Genomic DNA, 27,625 nt, shown 5'->3' with positions numbered 1-27,625 from the left:
CGGGCGCCTGCCACCACGCCCAACTAATTTTTGTATTTTTAGTAGAGACGGGGCTTTACCATCTTGGCCAGGCTGGTCTTGAATGCCTGACGTTGTGATCCATATGCCTCGGCCTCCCAAAGTGCTGGGATTACAGGCATGAGCTACCATGCTGGCCATTTTTTTTTTTTTTTTTTTGAGATAGAGTTTCGCACTGTCGCCCAGGCTGGAGTGCAGTGGCGCGATCTCCCCTCACTGCAACCTCTGCCTCCTGGGTTCAGTGATTCTCCTGCCCCAGCCTCCCGAGTAGCTGGGATTACAGGTGCCCGCCACCACGCCTGGCTAATTTTTGTATTTTTGGTAGAGACGGGGTCTTGCTATGTTGGCCAGGGTGGGCTCCAACTCTTGACCTCAAATGGTCCTCCCGCCTTGGCCTCCCAAAGTGCTGGGATTACAGGCGTGAGCCACTGTGCCTGGCCAAATCTGACTAATTTGACAATCTTTTATACAATGGACACTTGCTGATAGACACTTAACCTTGTACTCTAGAAATAGGACTGCTACATAAATGAGAAGTGAAAACTGCTTGTTAGAGTACACAATAAAATACAACATTTCACACATATAAAACCTCTTAGCTACTCATTAATTTTCAACATTAATGTGCTAATTAAATGTCACTCTTAGGTATTTACTAAGATGAGGCCAAGTGGCAACTATTTGTAACTGGGATGGAGCAGCTTTGAAAATAATGGTCCTTGGGCCATTTAGGCTTTTTTCTCCCCCAGTAAGTCAGCTTTCTGACAATTTAGTCACATTTCTCTTTTTCTTTCTTTTAATGAGTGAGGCTTTGTAATGACATCTTTTAATTTCACAAGTTTCTGTTTGTCAGGTAATATTGAACAGTTTGGGTTGTCCTTTTTAATAAACAAAAATGGATAACAGCTTATATTTTAACATTTAATTTTAATGAAATTTAAATATTGAGTGTTCTAAGTCAGAGATATATTAATAAACAATGATTTAAATGTACGATTTTTAAATTTGTTTTTATTTTTAAGTTTTAAAATCAAGTGTGCCATTTTAAAGTAAGTAGTTGGAAATACGAAGTCTTAAAGTGTTTATGGATCTGTGCTCACCTTTTTCTAGTTTTGTTAAGCATCTCATTTTTTTTCATTTAGTTTTCTTTTTCTTTCTAATAAAGTTCTTTTTGAAAAATTAAAATAAGTATGTTGTGGATTTTTGGAAGTTATTTTCATTTTTTAATTTTCAGCATTATTTGATACTTTACTGGATTATTAATTGTTATTTATTTTTATGTTTCATAAGTATATTTAGTAATATACCCAAAGAAGACTGTTCTGCAGATGGTATATAACAATATTACCTGCTGCTCAGATAAATGAAAAGACAGAAAATCAGAAGTTCTCATTTTGGTTTTCTGATAATTTGTAATTCAGTAGTTGTATTACTCTTAAAATATTTTACAGCTGTGAAACATAGCATGCATGCAAAAAACATGTACAGTGCATAGGTACACTTTAAAGAGCCACTAGAAGATAAGCATTTCTATACTTTCAACCTAGCCAATAAATAGTATATTACAGTTCTCCAGAAGACCGCTGGGTACCCTTCTCCGATTGCCTCTTCCCTTTGCTTGAGAGGAAATTACTGTCCTGTATTTTGTGTTAATCAGTTATTTACCTCTCTATTTTGAATTTCATGTAAGTGGAATCATACTGTATATATTATTTTGAGACTTGCTCCTTTAACTCATCATATTTTTCAGATTTATCCATGTTAATAAATATAGCTATAGTTCATTCTTTGTCTTTTGGTAAAATGTTAAAATCAAAATACAACACACATACAACAAGACACATCAAAGTGTAAAGCTTGATGAAGTTTTACAAAATGTATATATCTGTGAAATCTCTTTCCAGGTCAAGATAGAGAATATAGCTACCTCCCCAGAAACTCTTTCTTGCTCTCTCCCAGTCATTTATCACCTCTTGAAGAAGGAACCACTATTCTGTATTATGTTACCATAGATTCGTTTTCATTGTTTTTGATTCATAAAGCGTGTTCCCTTTTGTTTCTGTCTTCTTTTGCTCAACATTATGTTGTGAGATTGATCCATGTTGTTGCATTTAGCAATGGATTTTTAAAATTATTGTATGAATATATCACAATTTATATATCCATTGTACCATGGTTGGACTTTTGGTTTTTGACATTACAAGTGATTCTACTGTGAATACTCTTTTACATGTCTCTTAGTACACAAGTATACACATTTTTTTGAGTGTTGACTTAGAAGTGTAATCATAGTAGGCACTGCTGATAAAATTTCTCAAAGTGGCTGTACCAGTTTACATTTCCACTAGCAAGATTGAAAGTTCCCATGGCTCTCCATCCTTGCTGAAACTCGGTTTGTAAGTTTTTAATAATTTTAGCAATTCTGGTATGGCAGATGTATAGTTTGAATTTGCATTTTCCTTCATGACTAATGATATCAAGATCTTTTTTAATGTTTATCGATGATTTGGATATCCTCTTATGTGAAGTTTCTGGTTGAGTCTTTGATCTTTTTTAAGTATGGAAAAAATGGTTTGTCTGTCTTTTCACTGTCGATTTGTCTTTGTATATTCTGGATACTAATTCTGTGTTGAATATATGTATTGCAAATATCTTTTTTCACTCTGTGGCTTGCATTTTCACTTTCACTTGTGTCTTGGTCCATTTCGTGCTGCCGTAAGAGAATACCTGAGATTGGGTAATTTATAATGAACAGAATTTATTGACTCACAGTTCTGCATCTGATTTTTAAGAAAATTATACTTTAAGTTTTTTTTTTACAGTGTAATGTGATATGTATTTACTTATTTTTAAATTCGTGCAGAGTTTTTTTATTCTTTTTTTTAATATACTTTAAGTTCTGGGATACATGTGTAGAATGTGCAGGTTTGTTACATAGGTATACACATGCCACGGTGGTTTGCTGCACCCATCAACCCATAATCTACATTATGTATTTCTCCTAGTGCTATCCCTCCCCTAGCCCCCAATCCCCTGACAGACCCGGTGTGTGATGTTCCCCTCCCTGTGTCCATGTGTTCTCATGTTCAACTCCCACTTATGAGTGAGAACATGCGGTGTTTGGTTTTCTGTTCTTGTGTTAGTTTGCTAAGAATGATGGTTTCCAGCTTCATCCGTGTCCCTGCAAAGGACATGAACTCATCCTTTTTTTTATGGCTGCATAGTATTCCATGGTGTATATGTGCCACATTTTCTTTATCCGGTCTATTATTGATGGGCATTTGGGTTGGTTCCAATTCTTTGCTATTGTGAACAGTGCAGAAATAAACATACGTGTGCATGTATCTTTATAGTAGAATGATTTATATCCTTTGGGTATATACCCAGTAATGAGATTACTAGGTCAAATGGTATTTCTGGTTCTAGATCCTTGAGGAATTTCCACACTGTCTTCTGCAATGGTTGAACTAATTTACACTCCCACCAACAGTGTAAAAGCATTCCTATTTCTTCACATCCTCTCCAGCATCTGTTGTTTCTTGACTTTTTAGTGATTGCCATTCTAACTGGTGTGAGATGGTATCTCATTGTGGTTTTGATTTGCATTTCTCTAATAACCAGTGATGATGAGCTTTTTTTCGTATGTTTGTTGGTGGCATAAATACCTTCTTTTGAGAAGTGTCTATTCATATCCTTTGCCCACTTTTTGATGTTTTTTTTTTCTTGTAAATTTCTTTAAGTTCCTTGTGGATTCTGGATATTAGTCTTGTGTCAGATGGATAGATTGCAAACATTTTCTCCCATTCTGTAGGTTGTCTGTTCACTCTTATGATAGCTTCTTTTGCTAGGCAGAAGCTCTTTAGTTTAATTAGATTCCATTTGTCAATTTTGGCTTTTGTTTCCATTGCTTTTGGTGTTTTAATCATGAAGCCTTTGCCCATACCTATGTCCTGAATGATATTGCCTAGGTTTTCTTCTAGGGTTTTTATGGTTTTAGGTCTTATGTTTAAATCTTTAATCCTTCTTGAGTTAATTTTTGTATAAGATGTAAGGAAGGGGTCAAGTTTCAGTTTTCTGCATATGGCTAGCCAGTTTTCCCAACACCATTTAATAGGAAATCCTTTCCCCATTGCTTGTTTTTGTCAGGTTTGTCAAAGATCAGATGGTTGTAGATGTGTGCTGTTATTTCTGAGGCCTCTGTTCTGTTCCATTGGTTTATATATCTGTTTTGGTACCAGTACCATGCTGTTTTGGTTATTGTAGCCTTGTAGTATAGTCTGAAGTCAGGTAGCATGATGCCTCCAGCTTTGTTCTTTTTGCTTAGGATTGTCTTGGCTATGTGGGCTCTTTTTTGGTTCCATATGAAATTTAAAGTAGTTTTTTCTAATTCTGTGAAGAAAGTCAGTGGTGGCTTGATGGGGATAGCATTGAATCCATAAATTACTTTGGATAGTATGGCCATTTTCACTGTATTGATTCCTCCTATCCATGAGCATGGACTGTTTTTCCATTTGTTTGTGTCCTCTCTGATTTCCTTGGGCAGTGGTTTGTAGTTCTCCTTGAAGAGGTCCCTCAGATTCCTTATAAGTTGCATTCCTAGATATTTTATTCTCTTTGTAGCAATTGTGAATGGGAATTCACTCATGATTTGGCTCTCTGTTTGTCTGTTATTGGTGTATAGGAATGCTTGTGATTTTTGCACACTGATTTTTGTATCCTGAGACTTTGCTGAAGTTGCTTATCACCTTAAGTAGTTTTTGCGCCGAGACAATGGGGTTTTCTAAATATACAGTCATGTCAGAGACAATTTGACTTCCTCTCTTCCTATTTGAATACCCTTTATTTCTTTCTCTTGCCTGATTGCCCTGGCCAGAACTTACAATACTATGTTGAATAGGAGTGGTGAGAGAGGTCATCTTGTCTTATGCCGGTTTTCAAAGGGAATACTTGCAGCTTTTGCCCTTTCAGTATGATATTAGCTATGTATTTATCATAAATAGCTCTTACTATTTTGAGGTACATTCCATCAATACCTAGTTTATTGAGAGTTTTTAGCATGAAGGGGTGTTGAATTTTTATTGAAGGCCTTTTCTGCATCTATTGAGATAATCATGTGGTTTTTGTCATTGGTTCTATTTATGTGATGGATTACATTTATTGATTTGCATATGTTGAACCAGCCTTGCATCCCAGTGATGAAGCCAACTTGATTGTGGTGGATAAACTTTTTGATGTGCTGTTGGATTCGGTTTGCCAGTATTTTATTGACGATTTTTGCATCGATGTTCATCAGGGATATTGGTCTGAAATTTTCTTTTTTGGTTGTGTCTCTGCCAGGTTTTGGTATCAGGATAACTCTGGCCTCGTAAAATGAGTTAGGGAGGAGTCCCTCTTTTTCTATTGTTTGGAATAGTTTCAGAAGGAATGGTAACAGCTCCTCTTTGCACCTATGGTAGAATTCGGCTGTGAATCCATCTGGACCTGGGCTTTTTTTGGTTGGTAGGCTATTAATTACTGCCTCAATTTCAGAACTTGTTATTGGTCTATTCAGGGTTTTGACTTCTTCCTGGTTTAGTCTTGGGAGGGTGTATGTGTCCAGGAATTTATCCATTTCTTCTAGATCTTCTAGTTTATTTGCATAGAGGTGTTTATAGTATTCTCTGATGATAGTTTGTATTTCTGTGTGATCAGTGGTGATATCCCCTTTATCATTTTTTATTGTGTCTATTTGATTCTTCTCTTTTCTTCTTTATTAGTCTGGCTAGTGATCTATCTATTTTGTTAATCTTTTCAAAAAACCAGCTCCTGGATTCATTGATTTTTTGAAGGGTTTTTTATGTCTCTATCTCCTTCAGTTCTGCTCTGATCTTAGTTATTTCTTGTCTTCTGCTAGCTTTTGATTTTGTTTGCTCTTGCTTCTCTAGTTCTTTTAATTGTGATGTTAGGGTGTCAATTTTAGATCTTTCCTGCTTTTTCCTGTGGGCATTTGGTGCTATAAATTTCCCTCTAAACGCTGCTTTAGCTGTGTCCCAGAGAATCTGGTACATTGTGTGTTTGTTCTCATTGGTTTCAAAGAACAACTTTATTTCTTTTTTTATTTTTTTGAGATGGAGTCTCGCTCTGTCATCCAGGCTGGAGTGCAGTGGCGCGATCTCGGCTGACTGCAAGCTCCACCTCCTGGGTTCACGCCATTCTCCTGTCTCAGCCTCCTGTGTAGCTGGGACTACAGGCGCCCACCACCACGCCCGGCTCATTTTTTGTATTTTTAGTAGAGATGGGTTTTCACTGTGTTAGCCAGGATGATCTCGATCTCCTGACCTCATGATCCGCCTCCCTCGGCCTCCCAAAGTGCTGGGATTACAGGTGTGAGCTACTGTGCCCAGCCAAGAATATCTTTATTTCTGCCTTAATTTTGTTATTTACCCAGTAGTCATTCAGGAGCAGGTTGTTCAGTTTGCATGTAGTTGTGCGGTTTTGAGTGAGTTTCTTAATCCTGAGTTCTAATTTGATTACACTGTGGTCTGAGAGACTGTTTATTATGATTTCTGTTCTTTTGCATTTGCTGAGGAGTGTTTTACTTCCAATTATGTGGACGATTTTAGAATAAGTGTGATATGGTGCTAAGAAGAATGTATATTCTGTTGATTTGGGGTGGAGAGTTCTGTAGATGTCTGTTAGGTCCATTTGGTCCAGAGCTGAGTTCAAGTCCTGAATCTCCTTGTTAATTTTCTGTCTTGTTGATCTGGCTGATATTGACAGTGGGCTGTTAAAGTCTCCCACTATTCTTGTGTGGGAGTCTAAGTCTCTTTGTAGGTCTCTAAAAACTTGCTTTATGAACCTGGATGCTCCTGTATTGGGTGCATATATACTTAGGATACTTAGCTCTTCTTATTGCATTGATCCCTTTACTATTATGTAATGCCCTTCTTTGTCTTTTTTGATTTTTGTTGCTTTAAAGTCTGTTTTATCAGAGACTAGGATTGCAACCCCTGCTTTTTTTTTTTTTTTTTGCTTTCCATTTGCTTGGTAAATATTCCTCCATCTCTTTATTTTGAGCCTATTTGTGTCTTTGCATGTGAGATGGGTCTCCTGAATACAGCACACTGATGGGTCTTGACTCTTTATCCAATTTCCCAGTCCGTGTCTTTTAACTGGGGCATTTAGTCCATTTACATTTAAGGTTAATATTGTTATGTGTGAATTTGATCCTGTCATTATGATGCTAGCTGGTTATTTTGCCTGTTAGTTGATGCAGTTTCTTCATAGTGTCGATGGTTTTTATAATTTGGTATGTTTTTGCAGTGGCTGGTACTGGTTTTTCGTTTCCATATTTAGTGTTTCCTTCAGGAGCTCTTGTAAGGCAGGCCTGGTGGTGACAAAATCTCTCAACATTTGCTCGTCTGTAAAGGATTTTATTTCTCCTTCACTTATGAAGCTTAGTTTGGCTGGATATGAAATTCTGGATTGAAAATTCTTTTCTTTAAGAATGTTGAATATTGGCCCCCACTCTCTTCTGGCTTGTAGGGTTTCTGCCAAGAGATCCGATGTTAGTCTGATGGGCTTCCCTTTGTGGGTAACGTGACCTTTCTCTCTGGCTGCCCTTAACATTTTTTCCTTCATTGCAACCTTGGTGAATCTGACAATTATGTGTCTTGGGGTTGCTCTTCTTGAGGAGTGTCTTTGTAGTGCTCTCTGTATTTCCTGAATTTGAATATTGGTTTGTCTTGCCAGGTTGGGGAAGTTTGCCTGGATAATATCCTGAAGAGTGTTTTCCAACTTGGTTCCATTCTCCCCGTCACTTTCAGGTACACCAATCAGACGTAAATTTGGTCTTTTCACATAGTCCCATATTTCTTGGAGACTTTGTTCCTTTTCATTCTTTTTCTCTAATCTTGTCTTCACACTTAATTTCATTAAGTTGATCTTTAATCTCTGATATCCTTTCTTCCGCTTGATCAATTTGGCTATTGATACTTGCGTATGCTTCACGAAGTTCTCGTGCTGCGTTTTTCAGCTCCATCAGGTCATTTATGTTCTTCTCTAAACTGGTTATTCTAGTCAGCAATTCCTCTAACCTTTTTCAAGATTCTTAGCTTCCTTGCATTGGGTTAGAACATGCTCCTTTAGCTCAGAGGAGTTTGTTATTACCCACCTTCTGAAGCCTACTTCTGTAAATTCGTCAAACTCATTCTCTGTCCAGCTTTGTTCCCTTGCTGGCAAGGAGTTGTGATCCTTTGGAGGAGAAGAGGCGTTCTGGTTTTTGGAATTTTCAGCCTTTTTGTGCTGGTTTTTCCTCATCTTCATGGCTTTATCTACCTTTGGTCTTTGATGTTGGTGACCTTCAGATGGGGTTTCTGTGTGGACACCCTTTTTGTTGATGTTGATGCTATTCCTTTCTATTTGTTAGTTTTCCTTCTAATAGGCCCCTCTGCTGCAGGTCTGCTGGAGTTTTCTGGAGGTCCACTTCAGACCCTGTTTGCCTGGGTATCGCCAGTGGAGGCTGCAGAACAGCAAAGATTGCTGTCTGTTCCTTCCTCTGGAAGCTTTGTCCCAGAGGGGCATCCGCCAGATGCCAGCCGGAGCTCTCCTGTATGAGGTTTCTGTCGACCCCTGCTGGGAGTTATCTCCCAGTCAGGAGGCATGGGAGTCAGGGACCCACTTGAGGAGGCAGCCTGTCCCTTAGCAGAGCTCAAACACTGTGCTGGGAGATCCACTGCTCTCTTCAGAGCCAACAGGAAGGAAGGTTTAAGTCTTCTGGAGCTGCGCCCACAGCCGCCCCTTCCCCCAGGTGCTCTGTCCCAGGGAGATGGGAGTTTTATCTATAAGCCCCTGACTGGGGCTGCTGCCTTTCTTTCAGAGATGCCCTGCCCAGAGAGGAGGAATCTAGAGAGGCAGTCTGGTTACATTGACTTTGCTGAGCTGCAGTGGGCTTTGCCCAGTTCGAACTTGCCCATTGTGAGGGGAAACCCGGCTACTCAAGCCTCAGTAATGGCGGATGCCTCTCCCCCAACCAAGCTCAAGCATCCCAGGTCGACTTCAGACTGCTGTGCTGGCAGTGAGAATTTCAAGCCGTTGGATCTTAGCTTGTTGGGCTCTGTGGGGGTGGGATCCAGTGAACTAGACCACTTGGCTCCCTGGCTTCAGCCCCCTTTCCAGGGGAGTGAACGGTTCTGTCTCGCTGGCATTCCAGGTGCCACTGGGGTATGAAAAAAAAAAAACCTCCTACAGCTATCTCGATGTCTGCCCAAACAGCCACCCAGTTTTGTGCTTGAAACCCAGGGCCCTGGTGGTGTAGGCACCTAAGGGAATCTCCTGGTCTGTGGGTTGTGAAGACCATGGGAAAAGTCTAGTAACTGGGTCAGAATGCACTGTCCCTCACGGCACAGTCCCTCATGGCTTCTGTTGGCTAGGGGAGGGAGTTCCCTGACCCCTTGTACTTCCTGTGTGAGGCATCACCCCACCCTGCTTCGGCTCGCCCTCTGTGGGCTGCACCCACTGTCTAACCAGTCCCAGTGAGATTAGCCGGGTACCTCAGTTGGAAATGCAGAAATCACCTGCCTTCTGCATTGATTTCACTGGGAGCTCCTGACTGGAGCTGTTTCTATTTGGCCCTGACTCACAGTTCTGGAGGCTGAGAAATCCAGAATCAAGGTGCTGGCATCTGATGAGGACCTTCTTGTTGTATCATCCTATGGCAGAAAGTGAGAAGAGAGAGAGAGAGGGAGGGAGGGAGAAAGAGAAGTGGGCCTAACTAGCCCTTCTATAACTAATCCACTTTGGCAATAATTGTTTATGAGGGCAAAGCCTTCATGGCCTAACTACCTCTTAAAGGTCACACCTCTTAATATTGTTATAATGGCAATTAAATTTAAATATGAGTTTTGGAGCAGAGAAACCATAGCAACTGGTATCTTCTGTTGAATGTTATTAATTTTAATATAGTTTTGTCAGTTGACTCTGTTGTTTTTTTTTGTTTCCTGTTTGAGATTTCTTACCTCGCCTGTTACAAGATCAGAGAGTACTCATCTATGTTATTTTCTAGAAGCTTCTTATTTTACCTTTCTCATTTAGGTATGTGGTACATCTGGAATTGATTTTTATGTATGAAGTGAGGTAGGGGTCATGGCTAATTCCCTCTGTCTATCACAATGGATATGTGTTTGATCTAGCATTATTTTTATTTTATTTTATTTATTTTTTCTACACAGAGTCTCGCTCTGTCACCTAGACTGGAGTGCAGTGGCACGATCTTGGCTCACTGCAACCTCTGCCTCCCGGGCTTAAGTGATTCTCCTGCCTCAGCCTTCTGAGTAGCTGAGATTACAGGCTCCCCCCCCCACACCCAGCTAATTTTTGTATTTTTAGTAGAGACGGGGTTTCACCATGTTAACCAGGCTAGTCTTGAACTCTTGACCTCAAGTGATCTGCCCATCTCGGCCTTCCAAAGTGCTGTGATTAAAGACATGAGCCACCGTGCCCAGCCTAGCATTATTTTTAAATGTCATTCACACTGCTGTAGTTGGCCCCCCCTTTTTTTTGAGACGGAGTCTCACTCTGTTGCTAGGCTGGAGTGCAGTGGCGTGATCTTGGCTCACTGCAACCTCCACCTCCCATGTTCAAGAGATTCTCCTGCCTCAGCCTCCTGAATAGGTGGGACTACAGGCATGTGCCACCACACCTGGCTGATTTTTGTATTTTTTTTTTTTTTTTTTCTTAGTAGAGATAGGGTTTCATTCTGTTGGTCAGGCTGGTCTCGAACTCCTGACCTCAAGCAGTCCACCCACCTCTGCCTCCCAAAGTACTGGGATTACAGGTGTGAGCCACCACACCCGGCCCTTGGCACCATTTGTGTAAACCAGGAGATCTTGTTTGTGTGGGTTTTTTCTGGTCTCTAGTTTCTTTCATTGGCCTGTTTATCTATGTGCTAATACTACACTGCCTTAATACTGTAGCTTTAAAATAAATCTTGATATTTTATAGTGTAGTGTAGGTCCTCCAGCTTTCTTTTTCTTCCTCAAGATTGCCTTGGCTATTCTTGGTTCTTTGCATTTCCATATACATTTCAGGATTAGCTCACCAGTTTTTACTTGCATATAAATGTGATGTGTGCATGTGTGCGTGCATGTTGAGATATTTTATTATGAATGCATTGAATCTATAGATAAATTAAGAAGAATTGATATCTTTATAATATGGACTTATACCCAGAGCCCCAGGCAAGCAATTATCTTTTTTTTTTTTTTTTTTGGCCTTTTCTAGAAATTTCATGGGTAATACGTAGTCCTATGTATCTAGTTCTTCCACTTACAATATTGTTTTTGAAGTTCATATTGTTTCTTGTATCAGTAGTTCATTCCTTCGTGTTCCTGAGTGGTATTTCATTGATGAGTATACCACATTTTGTTTATCCATTCACCAGTTAATGGATATTTGGATTGTTTTCAGTATTTGGCTATTATGAATGTTGCTGTTTTGGAAGTTCATTGCAAATTTTTATTCGGACATATGTTTTTCATTTCTTTTGGATGGATATCTAAGAGTGGGTTGTGTGGTAAATTTATTTTTAACTTAAAAAATCATCAAACTCTTTTCCAAACTGGCTGTTCCATTTTGTATCCCCATTACCAATATTCCAGTCTCTTCACATGAGTATTCTCGTCTCTTCACGTCCTCATCAACTCTTGGTATTGTCAGTGGCTTTGATTTTGTGCATTTTAGTTGGTATGCAGTGGTATCTCATTGTGGTTTTAATTTGCATTCCCCCAGTGACTAATGACACTGAGCATCTTGTCATGTGCTTATTAGCCATTTGTATATCTTCTTTGAAGAAATGTCTGTTCTAATAGTTATCTGCTCCTAACACACCCAACATACAATGGGCCAAGCAGAGGATAACCTCCACAGACATTTCTAAAAAGTCACTAGTTCATAACAATTCTGAAATCCAGATAGGCAAGTAGTGGAATTTTCTTAGTTAAGTCATTCTTAAGTTTTGTAGAGGCCCTCTTGTTTGATTGAGAGGATCTGTCAGGCATACTCTTAATCTTTTTAAGGGGATCTGTGGATGAATGCATAGTACTCTGAGATATACCATCTTTTATCTTTTCGATCTTCACAAAATATTTTACATTTATACCCTTGGCTTTATGTCTATGCAGTGTCCAAAGTTTGCTTGGACTTTCTTAATTTAGGATATTTTGCCATCTAGAGAGGCTGAGAATTTTTAAAACCATGAAGTCTTAGTTCCATTTTCTTTAACTTTCCTTGACTCAATTTTACTCTACTCTTGCACCTAAGAGCGACAGCACTTAAAGCAATAGCAAATACTTTGTAAATCTTCTTAGCTATATTACTCACTTAGTTCCTCAAGCATATTTTCTAATTTTTGTGTTACTGAAGATGATGGTATAGCTTTCTATCTCTATGTAAAAAGGATCCCCCTTCTTCTCATTTCCGATAACAGATTTCTTACTTCCTCTTGAGCCCCACTGGCAATATCCTCAAATTCCAGATTCCTACTAATGACCTCTTCAAATCAACTTTGTCTTTAGCACACTACACACAAAGATGTTTCCATATTCTTAGGCTGTACTTTACTTTCAGATACCAAAATCTGTATTATCTATAATACAGATATCTGCAGTTATCTATTGCATGTCTTTCTAGCTATACCTAGCTATACGTGTTTTCATTATATGCTTAGTATTTGTTCTAAGTATGTGCTAGGCAACATCTAAGAGAAATTCCATTACAAATTACTCTAAATCTTAGCAGCTTAAAGCAACATTTATTTTTTAATTTTTTTAAAATTTTTTAATTTTTTTCTCATGGACATGGCTTAGCTGGGTTTTCTGGCTTAGGTTCTCCTATAAGGTTGCAAACAAAGTATTGACTGGGGTTGTGGTCCCAGCTGAAGTCTAGATTGGGGGAGAATCCACTTCTATTCTCACTCATATGGTTAATAGGATTCAGGTCCTTGCTGGGGTATTGCTCTGAGGGCGTCAGTCTTTGCTGGCTGTCATCCAAAAGTTTCTCTCAGTTTTTTCCTATTTGGGCCTCTCTATAGGATAGCCTACAGCATGGCAGCTGGCTTCCATCAAAGTGGACAAGTAAGAGAGCAAGAGAGAGGTAAGCATGATGGAAGCTAGAATCTTTTTGTAAGCTAATCTTGGAAATTATAGCTTATCACTTTTGTCGGATTCTGTTTATTAAAAGCAAGTTTCTAGGTCCAGACTATACTCAAGGGAAAGGACATACCACATGGGCATGCATACCAGGAGTTGGGGAAAATTGGGAGCCATCTTAGATGTTGCCTAGCACATACTTAGAACAAATACTAAGCATATAATGAAAAGACATATAGCTAGGTATAGCTAGAAGGATGTGTAACTAGAAGGATTAAAATGGAATACTATAAAATATTCAGTGAACATAAAATAAGGCAGGGAAGGAAAAACGAGGAGCAAAGAAGAGCTGTGACAAAACCAATAGCAAAATGACAGACTAAATAGAACCATAAATAATTACATTAAATATAAATGAACTCAACACTGGAAGCCAAAGACAGTGCTTTTTGGATTGGATAAAAAAAGCAAGAGCCAACTTTATATTATTTATAAGAGACATACTTTAAATACAAAGATAAATAGCTTGAAAGTAAAAGGATGCAAAGAGATGTATCATGGAAACAATAAGCATAAAAAAGCTGGAATGGCTATACTGAATATCAGATAAAATAGACTTTCACAACAAGGAAAAATTATAAGACAAATAGTCATTTTGTAATGGTAAAGAGTCTATTCATAAGCATGATGTAATGATTATAAATGTGTATTTAGCAAACAAAAGAGCTTCAAAAATACATGAAGCAAAAACTAATAGTACCAAAGGGAAAAACAGACAAATGCATAAACATTATTGCATTTATTATTCCTTTTCTTGGGAATTGATGGAGCAACTTGACCAAAAAGTCAAAAAGGATGTAGAAGATTTGAGGAATACTCTGAACTACCACAGCCTAATTGACATTTATAAAATACCCCATCCAATAACTGTAGAATGCACATACTCCAGTGTGGGGAACTTCAATACGCCGGATAGAACAAATGACAGAAGGTTACTAAACAGAGGACTTGAACAATTCAATAGACCAGTTGAACCTAACAGACATAAAGAACACTCCAGTGGCTGGGTGCGATGGCTCACGCCTATAATCCCAGCAGTTTGGGAGGATGAGGCAGGCAGATCGCTTGAGGTCAGGAGTTCAAGACCAGCCTCGCCAAAATGGTGAAACCCCGTCTCTACTAGGGGTATTGTACTGTATTTTGTATTGTAAAAATAACAAAAAAAAATTAGCTGGGCATGGTGGCACATGTCTGTAGTCCCATCTCCTTGGGAGGCTGAGTCACAAGAATTGCTGGAGCTTGGGAGGTGGAGCTAACAGTGAGCCAAGATCGTGCCACTGCACTCCAGCCTGGGTGACACAGTGAGACTCCATCTTAAAAAAAAAAAAAAAAGGCCGGGCGCGGTGGCTCACGCCTGTAATCCCAGTACTTTGGGAGGCCGAGGTGGGCGGATCATGAGGTCGAGAGATCGAGACCATCCTGGCTAACCGGGTGAAACCTTGTCTCTACTTAAAAAAAAAAAAAAAAAAAATTAGCTGGGCATGATAGCATGCGCCCGTAGTGCCAGCTACTCGGGAGGCCGAGGCAGGAGAATCACTTGAACCTGGGAGGCAGAGGTTGCAGTGAGCTGAGAGATCACACCACTGTACTCCAGCCTAGGAGACAGAGTGAGACTCCATCTCAAAAAAAAAAAAAAAAAAAAACAAACAAACAAAAAAAAAAACCCTAAATTTACACCTTAAGGAACTAGAAAAAGAACAAACTAAACCTAAAGCTAACAGAAGGAAGGAAATAAAATATGAAACAGAAAAACAGTAGAGAAAATGAAACTAAGAGTTGGGTTTTTGAAAAGATCAGCAAAATGAGCAAACTTTTAACTACATGGGTAAGAAAAAAAGAAACAAGACTCATTAACTAAAATCAGAGAGAAATTTAACACAAAGAAAAAGGGTTGTAAGAGAGGACTATGAGCAACCATATGTCAATATATTTGATAACCTAGGTGAAATGAACAAATTTCTCACAACACATGACCTACCAAGACTAAATTATGAAGAATAGAATATCTGAACAGACCTTTAGTAAGCAGATTGAATCAATAATCAAAAACCTCTCAACAGACAAAAACTCAGGACCAGGTGGCTTCATTGGTGAATTTACCAAACATTTAAAGAAGAATTAATGCCAATCCCTCTTCAAACTTTTCAAAAACATTGAAGAGGAAACACTTCTAAATTTATCACGTGAGGCCAGCATTAAGTTGATACTAAAACTAGACAAATGTGGTACAAGGAAAGAAAACTATAGGCCAATATCCTGACAAATATTTGCTGCAAAGGCCTCAGGAAAATACTTGTAAACTGAATTCAACAGCACATTAAAGGTTTACACATCATGACCAAATGAGATTTATTCGTAACTTGCAAGAATGGTTCCAAATATGAAAATCAGTAAATGTGATATACTACATTAGCATTAACAGAATCAAAGGAGAAAACCCTCACACAATCATCTTAATTGAGGTAGAAAAATCTTTTCACAAAGTTTAACTCCCTTTTTTGATAAGAAGAAACTTAAATTGGGAAGATAAGGAAATTACCTCAGCAAAATAAACGCCATCTATTTAAAGCCTATAGACATTATTCTTATAGTGAAAGACTGAAAGCTTTTCCTCTAAGATCAGGAACAAAGAAAGGATGCTGTCTTTTGCCTTGTGTATTCAACATAGGCAATTCGCAAGAAAAAGAAAAAGAAAAAGTCATCCAAAATGAAAAGGAAGAAGGAAAATTATCTTTGTTCACAGACATGATCTTATATGTAGAAAACCCTAAGGATTTCACAAAAGCTGTTAGAACTAACAAATGGATTTAGCTTAGTTGCAGGATACAAAATCAGTGCAAAAAATTAATTAAATTTTTATATGCTAACAATGAACAATCTGAAAAGCAAATTAAGAGAATAATCTCATTTACAATAGCATCAAAAAGAATAAATTACTTAGGAATAAGCCTAACTAAGGAGGTGAAGGACTTGTACACTGAGAACTACAAAACCTTGATGAAAGAATCTAAAAAGACACCAATGAATGAAAAACATCCTGTATTCATGGATTGGAAGACTTAATATTATTAGGCGGTTAATACTACCCAAGATAATCTACAGATGCCATACAATCTCTGTCAAAATTCCAACAGTGTATTTTTTTCAGAAATAGAAAAATGCATCTGATATGGTTAGGCTGTATCCCCACCCAAATCTTACCTTGAATTATAGCTCCCATAATTCCCACATGTTGTGGGAGGGCCTCAGTGGGAGATAATTGAATCATGGCTGTTTCCTCCATACTGTTCTTGTGGTAGTAAATAAGTCTCACTAGATCTGATGGTTTTATAAGGGGAAACCCTTTCTCTTGATTCTCATTTTCTCTTGCTGCCTCCATGTAAGAAGTGCCTTTTGCCTTCTGCCATGATTGTGCGGCCTCCCCAGCCATGTGGACCTGTGAGTCCATTAAACCTATTTTTCTCCCCAATCTGGGTATGTCTTTATCAGCAGTGTGAAAACAGACTAATACAGTATCCTGAAGTTCACATGGAATCACTTGGGACATTGAGTAGCTAAAACAAATTTAGAAAAAAAACGAAGTTGGAGGTCTTACATTTCCTGATTTGGAAACTTGCTGCAAAGCCACTGTTATCAAAACAGTGTGGTACTGGTATAAAGACAAATATATAGACCAATGGAATACAATAGCCCAGAAATAAACCCTGACATATATGGTCACATAATTTTCGATAAGGGTGCTATGACCATTCATTGGGAAAAGGACAGTCATTTCCACAAATGGTGTTGGGAAAAAAGGATATCCAAATGCAATAGAATTAAGTTGGACTCTCACTTTACATCATATATAAATTAACTAAAAATGGATCAAAGACCTAAACATAAGAGCTATAATAGGGAAACATACGGAAGACATAGGGAAAAGCTTTATGACATTGGTCTTGGCAGTGATTTCTTTTTTGGATATGAGGCCAAATATACAGACAAATAAAAAAAAAGATACATTGAACTACATCAAAATTAAAAACTATCTACATCAAAATTAAAAACTGTACATCAAAGGACATAATCAACTGAGTGAAAAAGCAGTCAATGGAATGGAAGAATATATTTGCAAAGCATATATTTGAAAAGGGGTTAATATCCCGAATATGTAAAGAACTCATCTCAACAACAATAAAAAAAACTAGATTAAAAGATGGGGAAAGGACTTGAATAGACATATCTCCAAAGATGATATAAAAATGGCCAATAAGCACATGAAAAGTTGCTCAACATCACTAACCATTAGGGAAATAAAAATCAAAACTATGATGAGATGTTACCTTACATCCATGAGGATGGCTACTGTGAAAAAAAAAGTGTTGGTGAGAATGTGGAGAAATTGGAGCCCTGTGCACTGTTGGTAAGAATGTAAAATGGTACAGCTGCTGTTGGAAATGACATGGTAGTCCTCAAAAAATTAAAAATAGAATTACATTATCCAACATTCCCACTTCTGGGAATTCTTTTTACATCCAAAAGAATTGAAAGCAGGGTCTTGAAGAGATATTTGCATATTCATCTTCATAGCAGCATTATTTGCAATAGTCAGGAGGTAGAAGCAACATAAATGTCTATCTACAGATGAATAGATTAGCAAAATGTGGTACATTTAGAATGAATAATATTCAGCCCTAAAAAGGAAGAAAGTCTTGTCACATGGGACAACATGGATAAATCTTGAAGACATTATGCTAAGTGAATAAACCAGTCACAAAAAGACAGATACCGTTTAACTTATATGAGGTCTCTAAAGTTGTCAAATTCATAGAAACGGAAAGTAGAATGGTGGTTATAGGGGCAGTGGGAAGCAGGGAATAGGGAGTTATTGTTTAATGACTGTAGGGTTTCAGTTTTTCAGGTTGAAATCTGGAGACAGATGGTGGAGATTATTGCACAACAATGTGAATATACTTAATACCACTGAACCGTATGCTTAAAAATGATTAAGACTGTAAATTTTGTGTTATATGTATTTTACCACAATTGATAATAAAACATTTTAAAAAGAAGATATAATAATATCGGGAATGAAAGAAGGGACTTGACACAGATCCTACAGATGTTAAGAAGATAAGAGAATGTTATAAACCACTTTATACCAGTGACATTGTTGATGAAATAGACACACTGCTTGAAAGACAGAAAAACTAAATACTGACTCAAGAAATGGGAAATCTGAATAGCTCTATATATACCAAAGAAATTGAATTCATAATTAACCACCTCACAAATCTCTTAAGCCCAGATGGTATCACTGGTGAATTCTTTAAGGCTTTTATGGAAGAAATTTTATCAATCTTCCCTGAGTTTTTTTTCCTACATGAAATAGAGAAGGAGGGAATGCTTCCCAAGTCATTTTGTTAGGTCAGTATTACTCTGCTTCCAAAAGAAGACAAAGACCTTACAAGAACAGAAACCTACCTAGCAGCATTCCCTTATTAACATAGATTTTAAAATTCTTAATTATCAAATCAGATCTATTAATATATGGAAATAATATTATATTTTGAATAATTTGAGATTAACATTTGAAAATTTATGTATTTCATCATAGTTTTAGAAATATAATGTAATCATCTCACTAGATACAGAAAAAGCATATAACAAGATGCAACACTCATCCATGTTAAAAACTCTCAGCAAATTAGGAATAGAAGGGAACTTCCTCAGCCTGATTCATTATCCATGAGGAATGAAAGCAATTATAGAAAAGAAGAGAAAGTTAGGGGACTTCACTTTCCTGATTTTTAGGCTTAAAATCAAGCTGTAGTAATGAAGACAGTAGTATTGGTGAAAGGATAGATGGATTTATAGAATAGAATAGAAATTCCAGAAGTGAGCCCTCATATACATGGTCATTTGATTTTCCACAAAGATGGCAGTGGAATTGAGGGAAAGAAGGTCTTTTTATCAAATTATGCTGTAAGAACTGAATATCCACTGGGGAAAAACTGAAATGAGTTATAGGCCTAAATGAAAATGCTAAAAGTATAGAGTTTCTAGAAGAAAACAGAAAATCTCTGTGACGTTGGAACAGGCAAAGATTTCTAAAATAAGATATAAAAAAACACAAAACAATGAAGAAAAAATTTACAAACTGAACTATCTAAACCTTTTTTTAAAAAAGGCACCATTTGGAAAATTACCTGGCAGGGTACAGAATGGGAGAAAAATTTTCATCACATATATCTGATAAAGGACTTGTGGCTAGAATACATAAAGGATTCTTACAACTTAAGGGAGCACACAATCCAGTTAATGTGCAAAAGAGTTTACAGACACTTCACAAGAGAAAATATGTAAATGGCTAGTATACATACATGAAAAGATGGCCAACAGCATTCTTTAGCAGGGAAATGCAAATTATAAAGCACAGTGTGATACCACTGCATACCCCTTAGGATTATAAAGACTAAAATTTATAAATGGCTAAAATTATAAAGACTGAGAAAACCAAGTATGGTGGTGAGGTGATGAAGCTGAAAGTCTCATACACTGTTGATGGGAGTATAATATTGCACAACCACTCTGGAAAACAGTTTGGCTATTTCTTATAAATTTTAAGACAACTTACCATATGACCCAGCAATTCTATTCCTAGATACTTGGTAAAGAGAAATGAAAACATATGTCCACATAAATACTTGAATGTTCATAGCAGCTTTATTCATAATAACCCAAAGGGGTAAACAATCTAAATGTCCATAAACACATGAATAGAAAAGCAAATTATGGTTTATGTATATAATGGAATACTACAAAGCAATAATGAACCTTTTTTTTGTTTTGTTTTTGAGGTGGAGCCTTGCTCTGTTGCTCACACTGGAGTGCAGTGGTGCGATTTCAGCTCACTGCAACCTCCACCTCCTGGGTTCAAGCAATTCTCCTGCCTCAGCCTCTGGAGTAGCTGAGACTGCAAGTGTGCAGCACCATACCCGGCTAAATTTTGTATTTTTAGTAGAGATGGGGTTTCATGATGATGGCCAGGCTGGTCCTGAACTCTTGACCTCAGGTGATCTGCCTGCCTCGGCCTCCCAAAGTGCTGGGATTACAGGTATGAGCCACTGCACCTGGCCAATAATAAACTTTTGATACGTGCAACAACATGGAGAAATCTCAGAAATATTCTTGGCCAGGCCAAGCGAGACATAAACATGTACATACTGTTTAATTTCATACATATGAGACTCTTGAAAATACTGCTTGTCTGGAATTGGAGGAAGAGGTAAGTTGACTCTTAACTCTCAGGCTCAAAGAATTTTTGGGTGTGATGAAAATAATATGTATATTTATTGTGGTTACACAGGTGTGTACTTTTGTCAAAACTCATCAAACTCTGCATTTTACAAGGATATGGTTTTACTGTATGCAAGCTATACCTCAGTAAACAATAAAAATCAGGTACAGGTGTGGCTGTCTTCCATGGTGTGGCTTCTTTCAGCCTGAACCTGTGAACTAAAGGAAGGCATTATTCTTTCCCACACACTCACCTACACAGCCAACAATGGTGAGAGAGGGACCGGAGAACTGCAGTAAACTTTCCCATTCAAAGAGCAGAGAAATAGGAGGCAGATTGCAATGATAGTTTATAGCAGTTCTGAAATCTAGCCAGGCATTTGTTGCCCGTTTCATGATAGGTCTTAGTGCTGTTTCTTGGGAGTGGTTCTTCATGGCTGTTTGCTCTGTTTTTCATGATCTTGGCTCTTCCCTCTGAGCTATGTTTCTGTTACCACAAGAAATAATTTGCTTTCAGCTGAATAGTTTTTTCAGCCTGCTTTCTGTTTGTATGAATTTGGGGAACCAAATGCATATTTTCATTTTGAACTCTTTCAAATGAAGCTATAATTCCTTTAAAAATTTTGCACCTTTCTGTGTATCGAATTGTAATCCATTCCATTAGACAAACACCGTATTCACGAATTTCTTTGAGACAGACTTTCTCTGTTTTGGTCCAGGAATCAGGATACTGTAGTACAACACCCTTATGATTCTTAGAATCCCTCTTATCTGTCAGAGAGCTTCTAAGAGGTACAACATGGAAACGTTTAGAAGCCTTTTTGTTTTGCTTTTTTCAGGCACTGCCCAAATCTTTCTGAGGTCTTAACCAAGTGTGTAAAGATGTGTCCTTGAAATTTTGATCCTGAGTCCATATTTTACTGGCAAAACCTTGGATTTGATCTTTGCCCTTGGATTGTTTCTTCCTTCAGAGCCTTTTGCTAGTGGAAGAAGCTGAGAATGAAAAATAATTTGCTTTTACCATCTTATATATCCTATGTTGGACATATGAATATATCTCTGGACCCTGCTTGAAATCTGAGCCTTGTCTTCTCTGCTTCATTTCTCTTGATTTCTTCTGTTTCATACACAGCTAAAATAATCCATTTGGCAACAAAAATCAAATAAAATACCTAGGAATAAATTTAACCAAAGGTGGAAAAGATCTATACACTGAAAACTGTAAAACATCAGTGAAAGAAACTGAAGACACAGATAAATGGAAAGATATCCTGTGCTCATGGATTGGAAGAATTAATATTGTTAAAATGTCCATACACAAAGCAATCTACAATTTCAATGCAATCCCTATCAAAACTCCAACGGCTTTTTTCACAACAATAAAAAAAATATGAAAATTCATGGAATCACAAAAGACTCCAAATAGCCAAAGCAATCTTGAGCAAGAAGAACAAAGCCGGAGAAATGATACTTCCTGATTTCAAAATGTATTACAAATCTATAGTAATTGAAACAGTATGATACTGGCGTAAAGACAGACATATAGACCAATGGAACAAAATAAAGAGCCCAGAAATAAACCCACGCATTTACAGTCAACTGATCTTTGACAGAGGTGCCAAGAACACACAATGGTTAATGGATAATCACTTCAATAAATGGTGTTAGGAAAACCGGAAGTCCACAAGCATAAAAAGAAAATTTGGCCCTTATCTTGCACCATACACAAAAATCAACTAGAAATGCGTTAAAGACTTAAACATAAGATCTGAAACTGTAAACGACTAGAAGAAAACGTAGGGGGAAAGCTTCTTGACATTGGTCTAGGCAGTAATTTCTTAGATATAACCCCAAAACATAGGCAACTAAAGCAAAGATAGACAAATGGGATTTTATCAACTTAAAAATCTCCTGCACAGCAAACAATCAACAGAGTGAAGAGACAAGCTACAGAATCAGATAAAATATTTGCAAGCCACATATGTAATAATAGGTTAATATTCAATCTATATAAAGTACTCAACTCAACTGCCCCAAAACAACCCAATTTTAAGATGGGCAAAGAACTTGAATACACGTTTCTCCAAAGTGGACATACAATATATAAAATGTTCAACATCACGCATCATCAGCAAAATGCAAATCAAAACCACATGAGCTATCACTCACACCTGTTAGAATGACTATTATCAAAAAGACAAAAGATATCAAGTGTTGTCCAGGATTTGGAGAAAAGGGAATCTTTGTCCACTGTTGGTAGGAACATAAATTGATATAGCCATTATGGAAAACAGTGTGGAAGTTCCTCAAAAAATCAAAAATAGAATTACCTTATGATCCAGCAAATCCCTCTTCTGGGTGTAAAGCTAAAGAAAAATCAGGATCTCAAAAAGCTGTCTGTACTCCTGTGTTCACTGCAGCATTATTCACAATAGTCAGGATGTGGAAACAACCTATATGTTCATCTACAAATGAATGGATTAACAAAATATGGTATATACATAAAATAGAATATTTTTCAACATTAATAAAAGGAAATGCTATCATATGTGACAAGATAGATGAAGCTGGAGGACTTTTGCTGAGTTAAATAGCCAATCACAATAGGATAAATACTATATAGTAGTCAAACCCATAGAAGAGGAGAGTAGAATGGTAGCTGCCAGGGGCTTACAGACGGGGAAAATGGGGAGTTGCTGTTCAATGCATATAAAATTTCAGCTACAGAAGATGAAAACGTTCTAGAAGTCTGCTGCACAACACTGTGATTATAGCTGCAATACTGTGCTGTACACTTAAAATCTTAAGTAGATCTCATGTTGTGTATTTTTACCACAATAAAAGAAAAAAACTATTTTAAAAAGAGAAATTTCTAAAATGTTTATTTAATTTTTTTCAATATGATTCAAGTAGACATTTCATATGTGAAAAGGGGATGAACAGTCTGATCATAAAAATGTGCTTACAATTGAAAAACATGATTACTAAATCTGAAAATCACAATGGAAACAGAAAACAGCAGATTAAATATTACAGAAAACAGCAGATTAAATATTACAGAAAATCAAATCAGTGAATTAGAAAACCAGCTCAAAAAATTTTCTGAGAAAACAAAGGAAAAAATAAAAAGATGGCTATAACAAATGGAAGTGTAAGAGATGAAGAATATAGATTCAAAATCCCCAATACAGAGATAATATGAATTCCAAGAGGAAACAAACAGAAACTGGAGAAGCAATAAAGAAGTAGTACTCACAATGCTCATCAAGATTATACTGAAAAGAGCCTGAAAGAATGAACTTAAGGCTGGGCACGGTGGCTCACACCTGTAATCCCAGCACTTTGGGAGGCTGAGGCGGGCAGATCACTTGAGATCAGGAGTTTGAGACCAGCCTGACCAACATGGCAAAACCCCAACTCTACTAAAAATAAAAATAAAAAAAAAATTAGCCAGGCGTGGTGGTGTGTGCCTGTAATCCCAGCCACTCGGGGAGGCAGGAGAATTGCTTGAACCCAGGAGGTGGAGGTTGCAGTGAGCCAAGATTGCACCATTGCACCCCAGCCTTGGCAACAAGAGCAAAAATAACAGTAAATGGGACTGCTCTCTTGATTTCTTTTTGGATAATTCATTGTTAGTGTAAAGAAGTGCTACTGATTTTTGTATGTTGGTTTTGTATCCTGAAATTTTACTGAATTCATTTATTAGTTTAAATAGTTATTTAATGCAGTCTTTAGGGTTTTCTGCATATACAATTATGTCATCTGCAAATAGAAACCATTTTCCTTTTTACTTTCTGATTTGGATGCCTTTCTCTTGCCTGACTACTCTGGCTAGGACTGCTGTACTATTTAATAGGTGGTGACAGTGAGCCTTCTTGCCTTGTTCTTGATCTTAGAGGAAAAGCTTTTTTTAGCTTTTCACTGTTCGAGTATTATGCTAGGTATGGGCTTTGTCATATATGCATTTTATTATTCTGATGTACATTCCTTCTGTACTGAATTTATTGAGTTTTTATCATAAAAAAATATTGAATTTCGTCATGCTCTTTCTGCATCGATCCAAATGATCATATAATCTCTATTCTTCATTCTGTTAATGTGGGGTATCGCATTTATTATTTAGCATATATTGTACCATCCTGGCATCTTAGGGATAAATCCCACTTGATTATGGTGTATGATTCTTTTAATGTGCCATGGAATTCAGTTTGCTAGTATTTTGTTGAGGATTTTTGCATCTATGTTATTCAGGTATTGGCTTGTAATTTTCCTTTATTGTAGTGTCTTTGTCTGGTTTTGGTATCAGGGTAATGCTGGCTTTGTAAAATGAATTTGGGAGTATTCCCTCTTCAGTGTTTTGAATGGGTTTGAGGAGGATTGGCATCACTTCTCAAATGTTTGGTAGAATTCACCAGTGAAGTCATCTGGTTCTGGGCTTTTCTTGGTTGGGAGATTTTTAATTACTGATTCAGTTTCCTTACTAGTTATTGGTCTGTTCATATTTTCTATTCTTCATGATTCAATCTTGGTAAGTTTTGCATTTCGAGTAATTTGGTCATCTCATCTGGGTTATCCAATACATTGGCATACTGTTGCTCATAGTACTTTCTTACAGTTCTTTTTATAACTTTTTTTTTTCTCTTGAGATAGATTCTCACTCTGTCACCCGGACTGGAGCACAGTGGTGCAATCACTGCTCACTGCCGCCTTGACATCTTGGGCTGAAGCAATCCTACCTCATCCTCCCAAGTAGCTGGGACCTCAGGTGTGTGCCACCACATCCAGCTAATTTTTATTATTTTTATTTTTTTGTAGAAATGAGGCTCACTATGTTGCTGAGGCTGGTCATGTACTCCTGGGCTCCAGCAGTCCTCCTGCCTCAGCCTCCCAAAGTGTTGGGATTACAGGCATGAGCCACTGCACCCAGTCATTCTTTTTATTTCTGTTAAATTGAGTGTAATGTCTTATCTTTCATTTCTGATTTTAGTTGTTTAGTCTTCTCTCCTTTTTTCTTATTCTGTGTAGCCAAAGGTTTTTCAATTTTGTTGATCATTTCAATAAATCAACTCTTAGTTTCATTTTCTCTGTTGTTTTTCTATTTTCTGTTTTATCCCTGCCCTAATCCTTACTATTAATATTTACTTCCTTCTGCTGGCTTTGAGTTTAGTTTGTTCTTTTTTTAGTTCCTTAAGGTGTGCATCTAGGTTGTTAGAGTTTTTTTTCTTTTTTAATATAAGCTTTTACAGTTGTAAATTTTCCTCTTAGCACTGCTTTCACTGAATCCTACACATTTTGGTATGTTGTGTTTTTGTTTTCATTTGTCTCAAGATGTTTTCTAATTTCCTTTATTTTGCTTTCTTATTTGACTCATTGATTGATGAGAATTTGTTGTTTAATTTTCACACATTTGTGGACTTAATAAGTCATTTTGTTAATTGCTTTCTGACTGTTATATAATTCCTTTGTTCATTTCTTCCTTATATTTCTTTGTGATTTGATGATGTGTTTATTGTTACTGTGGTTTGCTTTGATTCTTTTTTTTTATGTTTTGTGTACTTACTATATTTAAAGAATTTGTGTTACCATAAGGCTTACATAAATCATCTTATAGTTGTAACAACCTATTTTAAGCTGATAACTTCGATTGCATTAAAAAATTCAATACTTTTACTCACACACTTTGTTATTAATGTCCCGATTTTCACCTTTTAATATTCTGTATTCATTAACAAATTATTTTGTGGTATGAAACCATCCAAGTTGTCCCATAAAATGGATGTTTATGGTTTTTTTGAATAAACATAGAAATTAACCCACCCAGTCTTAACACTGGAGAAACTTAACGTTTGTCTTATTTGAGTTCCTGTCTCTGGAAACCAACCATCAGGTATCCCAGATAGTATCAAGGAACTGAAACTTACCAGATCACTGCATCTAGACAATGTTATGCCAGACCCCTCACCTATCATGATTGCCTGACCAACCACCTGCTTCCTGTTGACGAACTCCTCTTCCTTACCAGTCCCTAATTCCTGTTTTCCCACAGGTAGTTACAGTTCTTCCTGCTATATAAACTAATTTTAGTTGGGCGAGGAGATGGATTTGATACTGATCTCCCATCTGCTTGGCTGCAGTGCCCAAATAAAGCCTTCTTCCCTAGCAATACTCATTGTCTCATTGATCTCATTGATTGACTTTCTGTGCGGTGAGCAATGGGACCTAGACTGGACTCCTGGTGTTTCAGTAACTGTTATAGTTATTTTTAAGACTTTCATCTTTTCATTTTTATGTTGAAGTTGAAAATGATTTATGCACCACTATTATATCAATAGAGTAATCTGTATTTTATATATAATTTTATCAGTGAGTTTCATATTTTCATGTGTTTTCATGCTACTAACTAGTGTCCTTTCATTTCAACTTGAAGAACTCCCTTTAGAATTTCTTTTAAGTCAAGTGTAGTGGTGATGAACTCCTTCAACTTTTGTTTATCTGGGACCGTATCTCTCTTTCATTTTTAAAGGACAGATTTGCATGGTATATAATAATATCCTTGACTGGCAGTTTTTCTCTTTCAGTACTTTGCATATATCATCCCATTCTCTCCTGGCCTATAAAGTTTCTGTTGAAAAATCCTTTTACAGTTTTATGAGTCTCCTTTGTATGTAGTGAGTTGCTTTTCTCTTTTTGATTTCAAAATTCTTTGTCTTTGACTTTTGGCAATTTGATTATAATGTGTCCTGGTGTAGATCTCTTTACATTCAACCTACTTGGGATTCTTTGAGCTTCATAAATCTGGATGTCCATTTTTCTCTTCAGATTAGTTCTTTAAATAAGCTTACTGCTTTTCTCTCTCTTCTCTTTCTCTAACTTTAGTAATATGTAAATTGGCCTGCTTGATAGTGTCTCATAAGTTTCTTATGTTTTCTTCAGTCTTTTAAAAACATTTTTGCTCTTGTGGAATGTATAATTTCAAATGTCCTGTCTTTGAGTTTACTGATTCTTTCTTGTACTTGATCAAGGCTGCTGTTGAGCCCCTTTAGTTAAGTTTTTAGTTCAGTTATTGTATTCTTCAGCCCTCAAATTTTTCTTTTTAAAAATATTTTGTTTGTTAAAATACTCATTTTGTTTATGCATAATTT

General features: G+C 37.1%; 1 protein-coding gene across 18 annotated transcripts in view; it reads left to right on the top strand.

Moving 5' to 3' along the window:
- The window catches only part of CEP112 (centrosomal protein 112), a 556,597-nt gene that overhangs the window by 27,400 nt on the left and 501,572 nt on the right, over positions 1-27,625 (top strand). For 2 of the 18 annotated variants that reach the window (XM_024450634.2, XM_011524465.3), the window contains exon 1: positions 25,216-25,248. The exons of the other annotated variants lie outside the window; for them this stretch is intronic. The gene's annotated coding sequence lies outside the window, so the exon portion shown is untranslated. Of the gene's footprint in view, positions 1-25,215; positions 25,249-27,625 lie in introns of those variants that run through there. 18 annotated transcript variants of the gene reach the window in all.

This window comes from Homo sapiens, chromosome 17, assembly GCF_000001405.40.
Source record: "Homo sapiens chromosome 17, GRCh38.p14 Primary Assembly".
NCBI classification, from domain to species: domain Eukaryota; kingdom Metazoa; phylum Chordata; class Mammalia; order Primates; family Hominidae; genus Homo; species Homo sapiens.
This window is presented reverse-complemented; position numbering and strand designations above follow the sequence as displayed.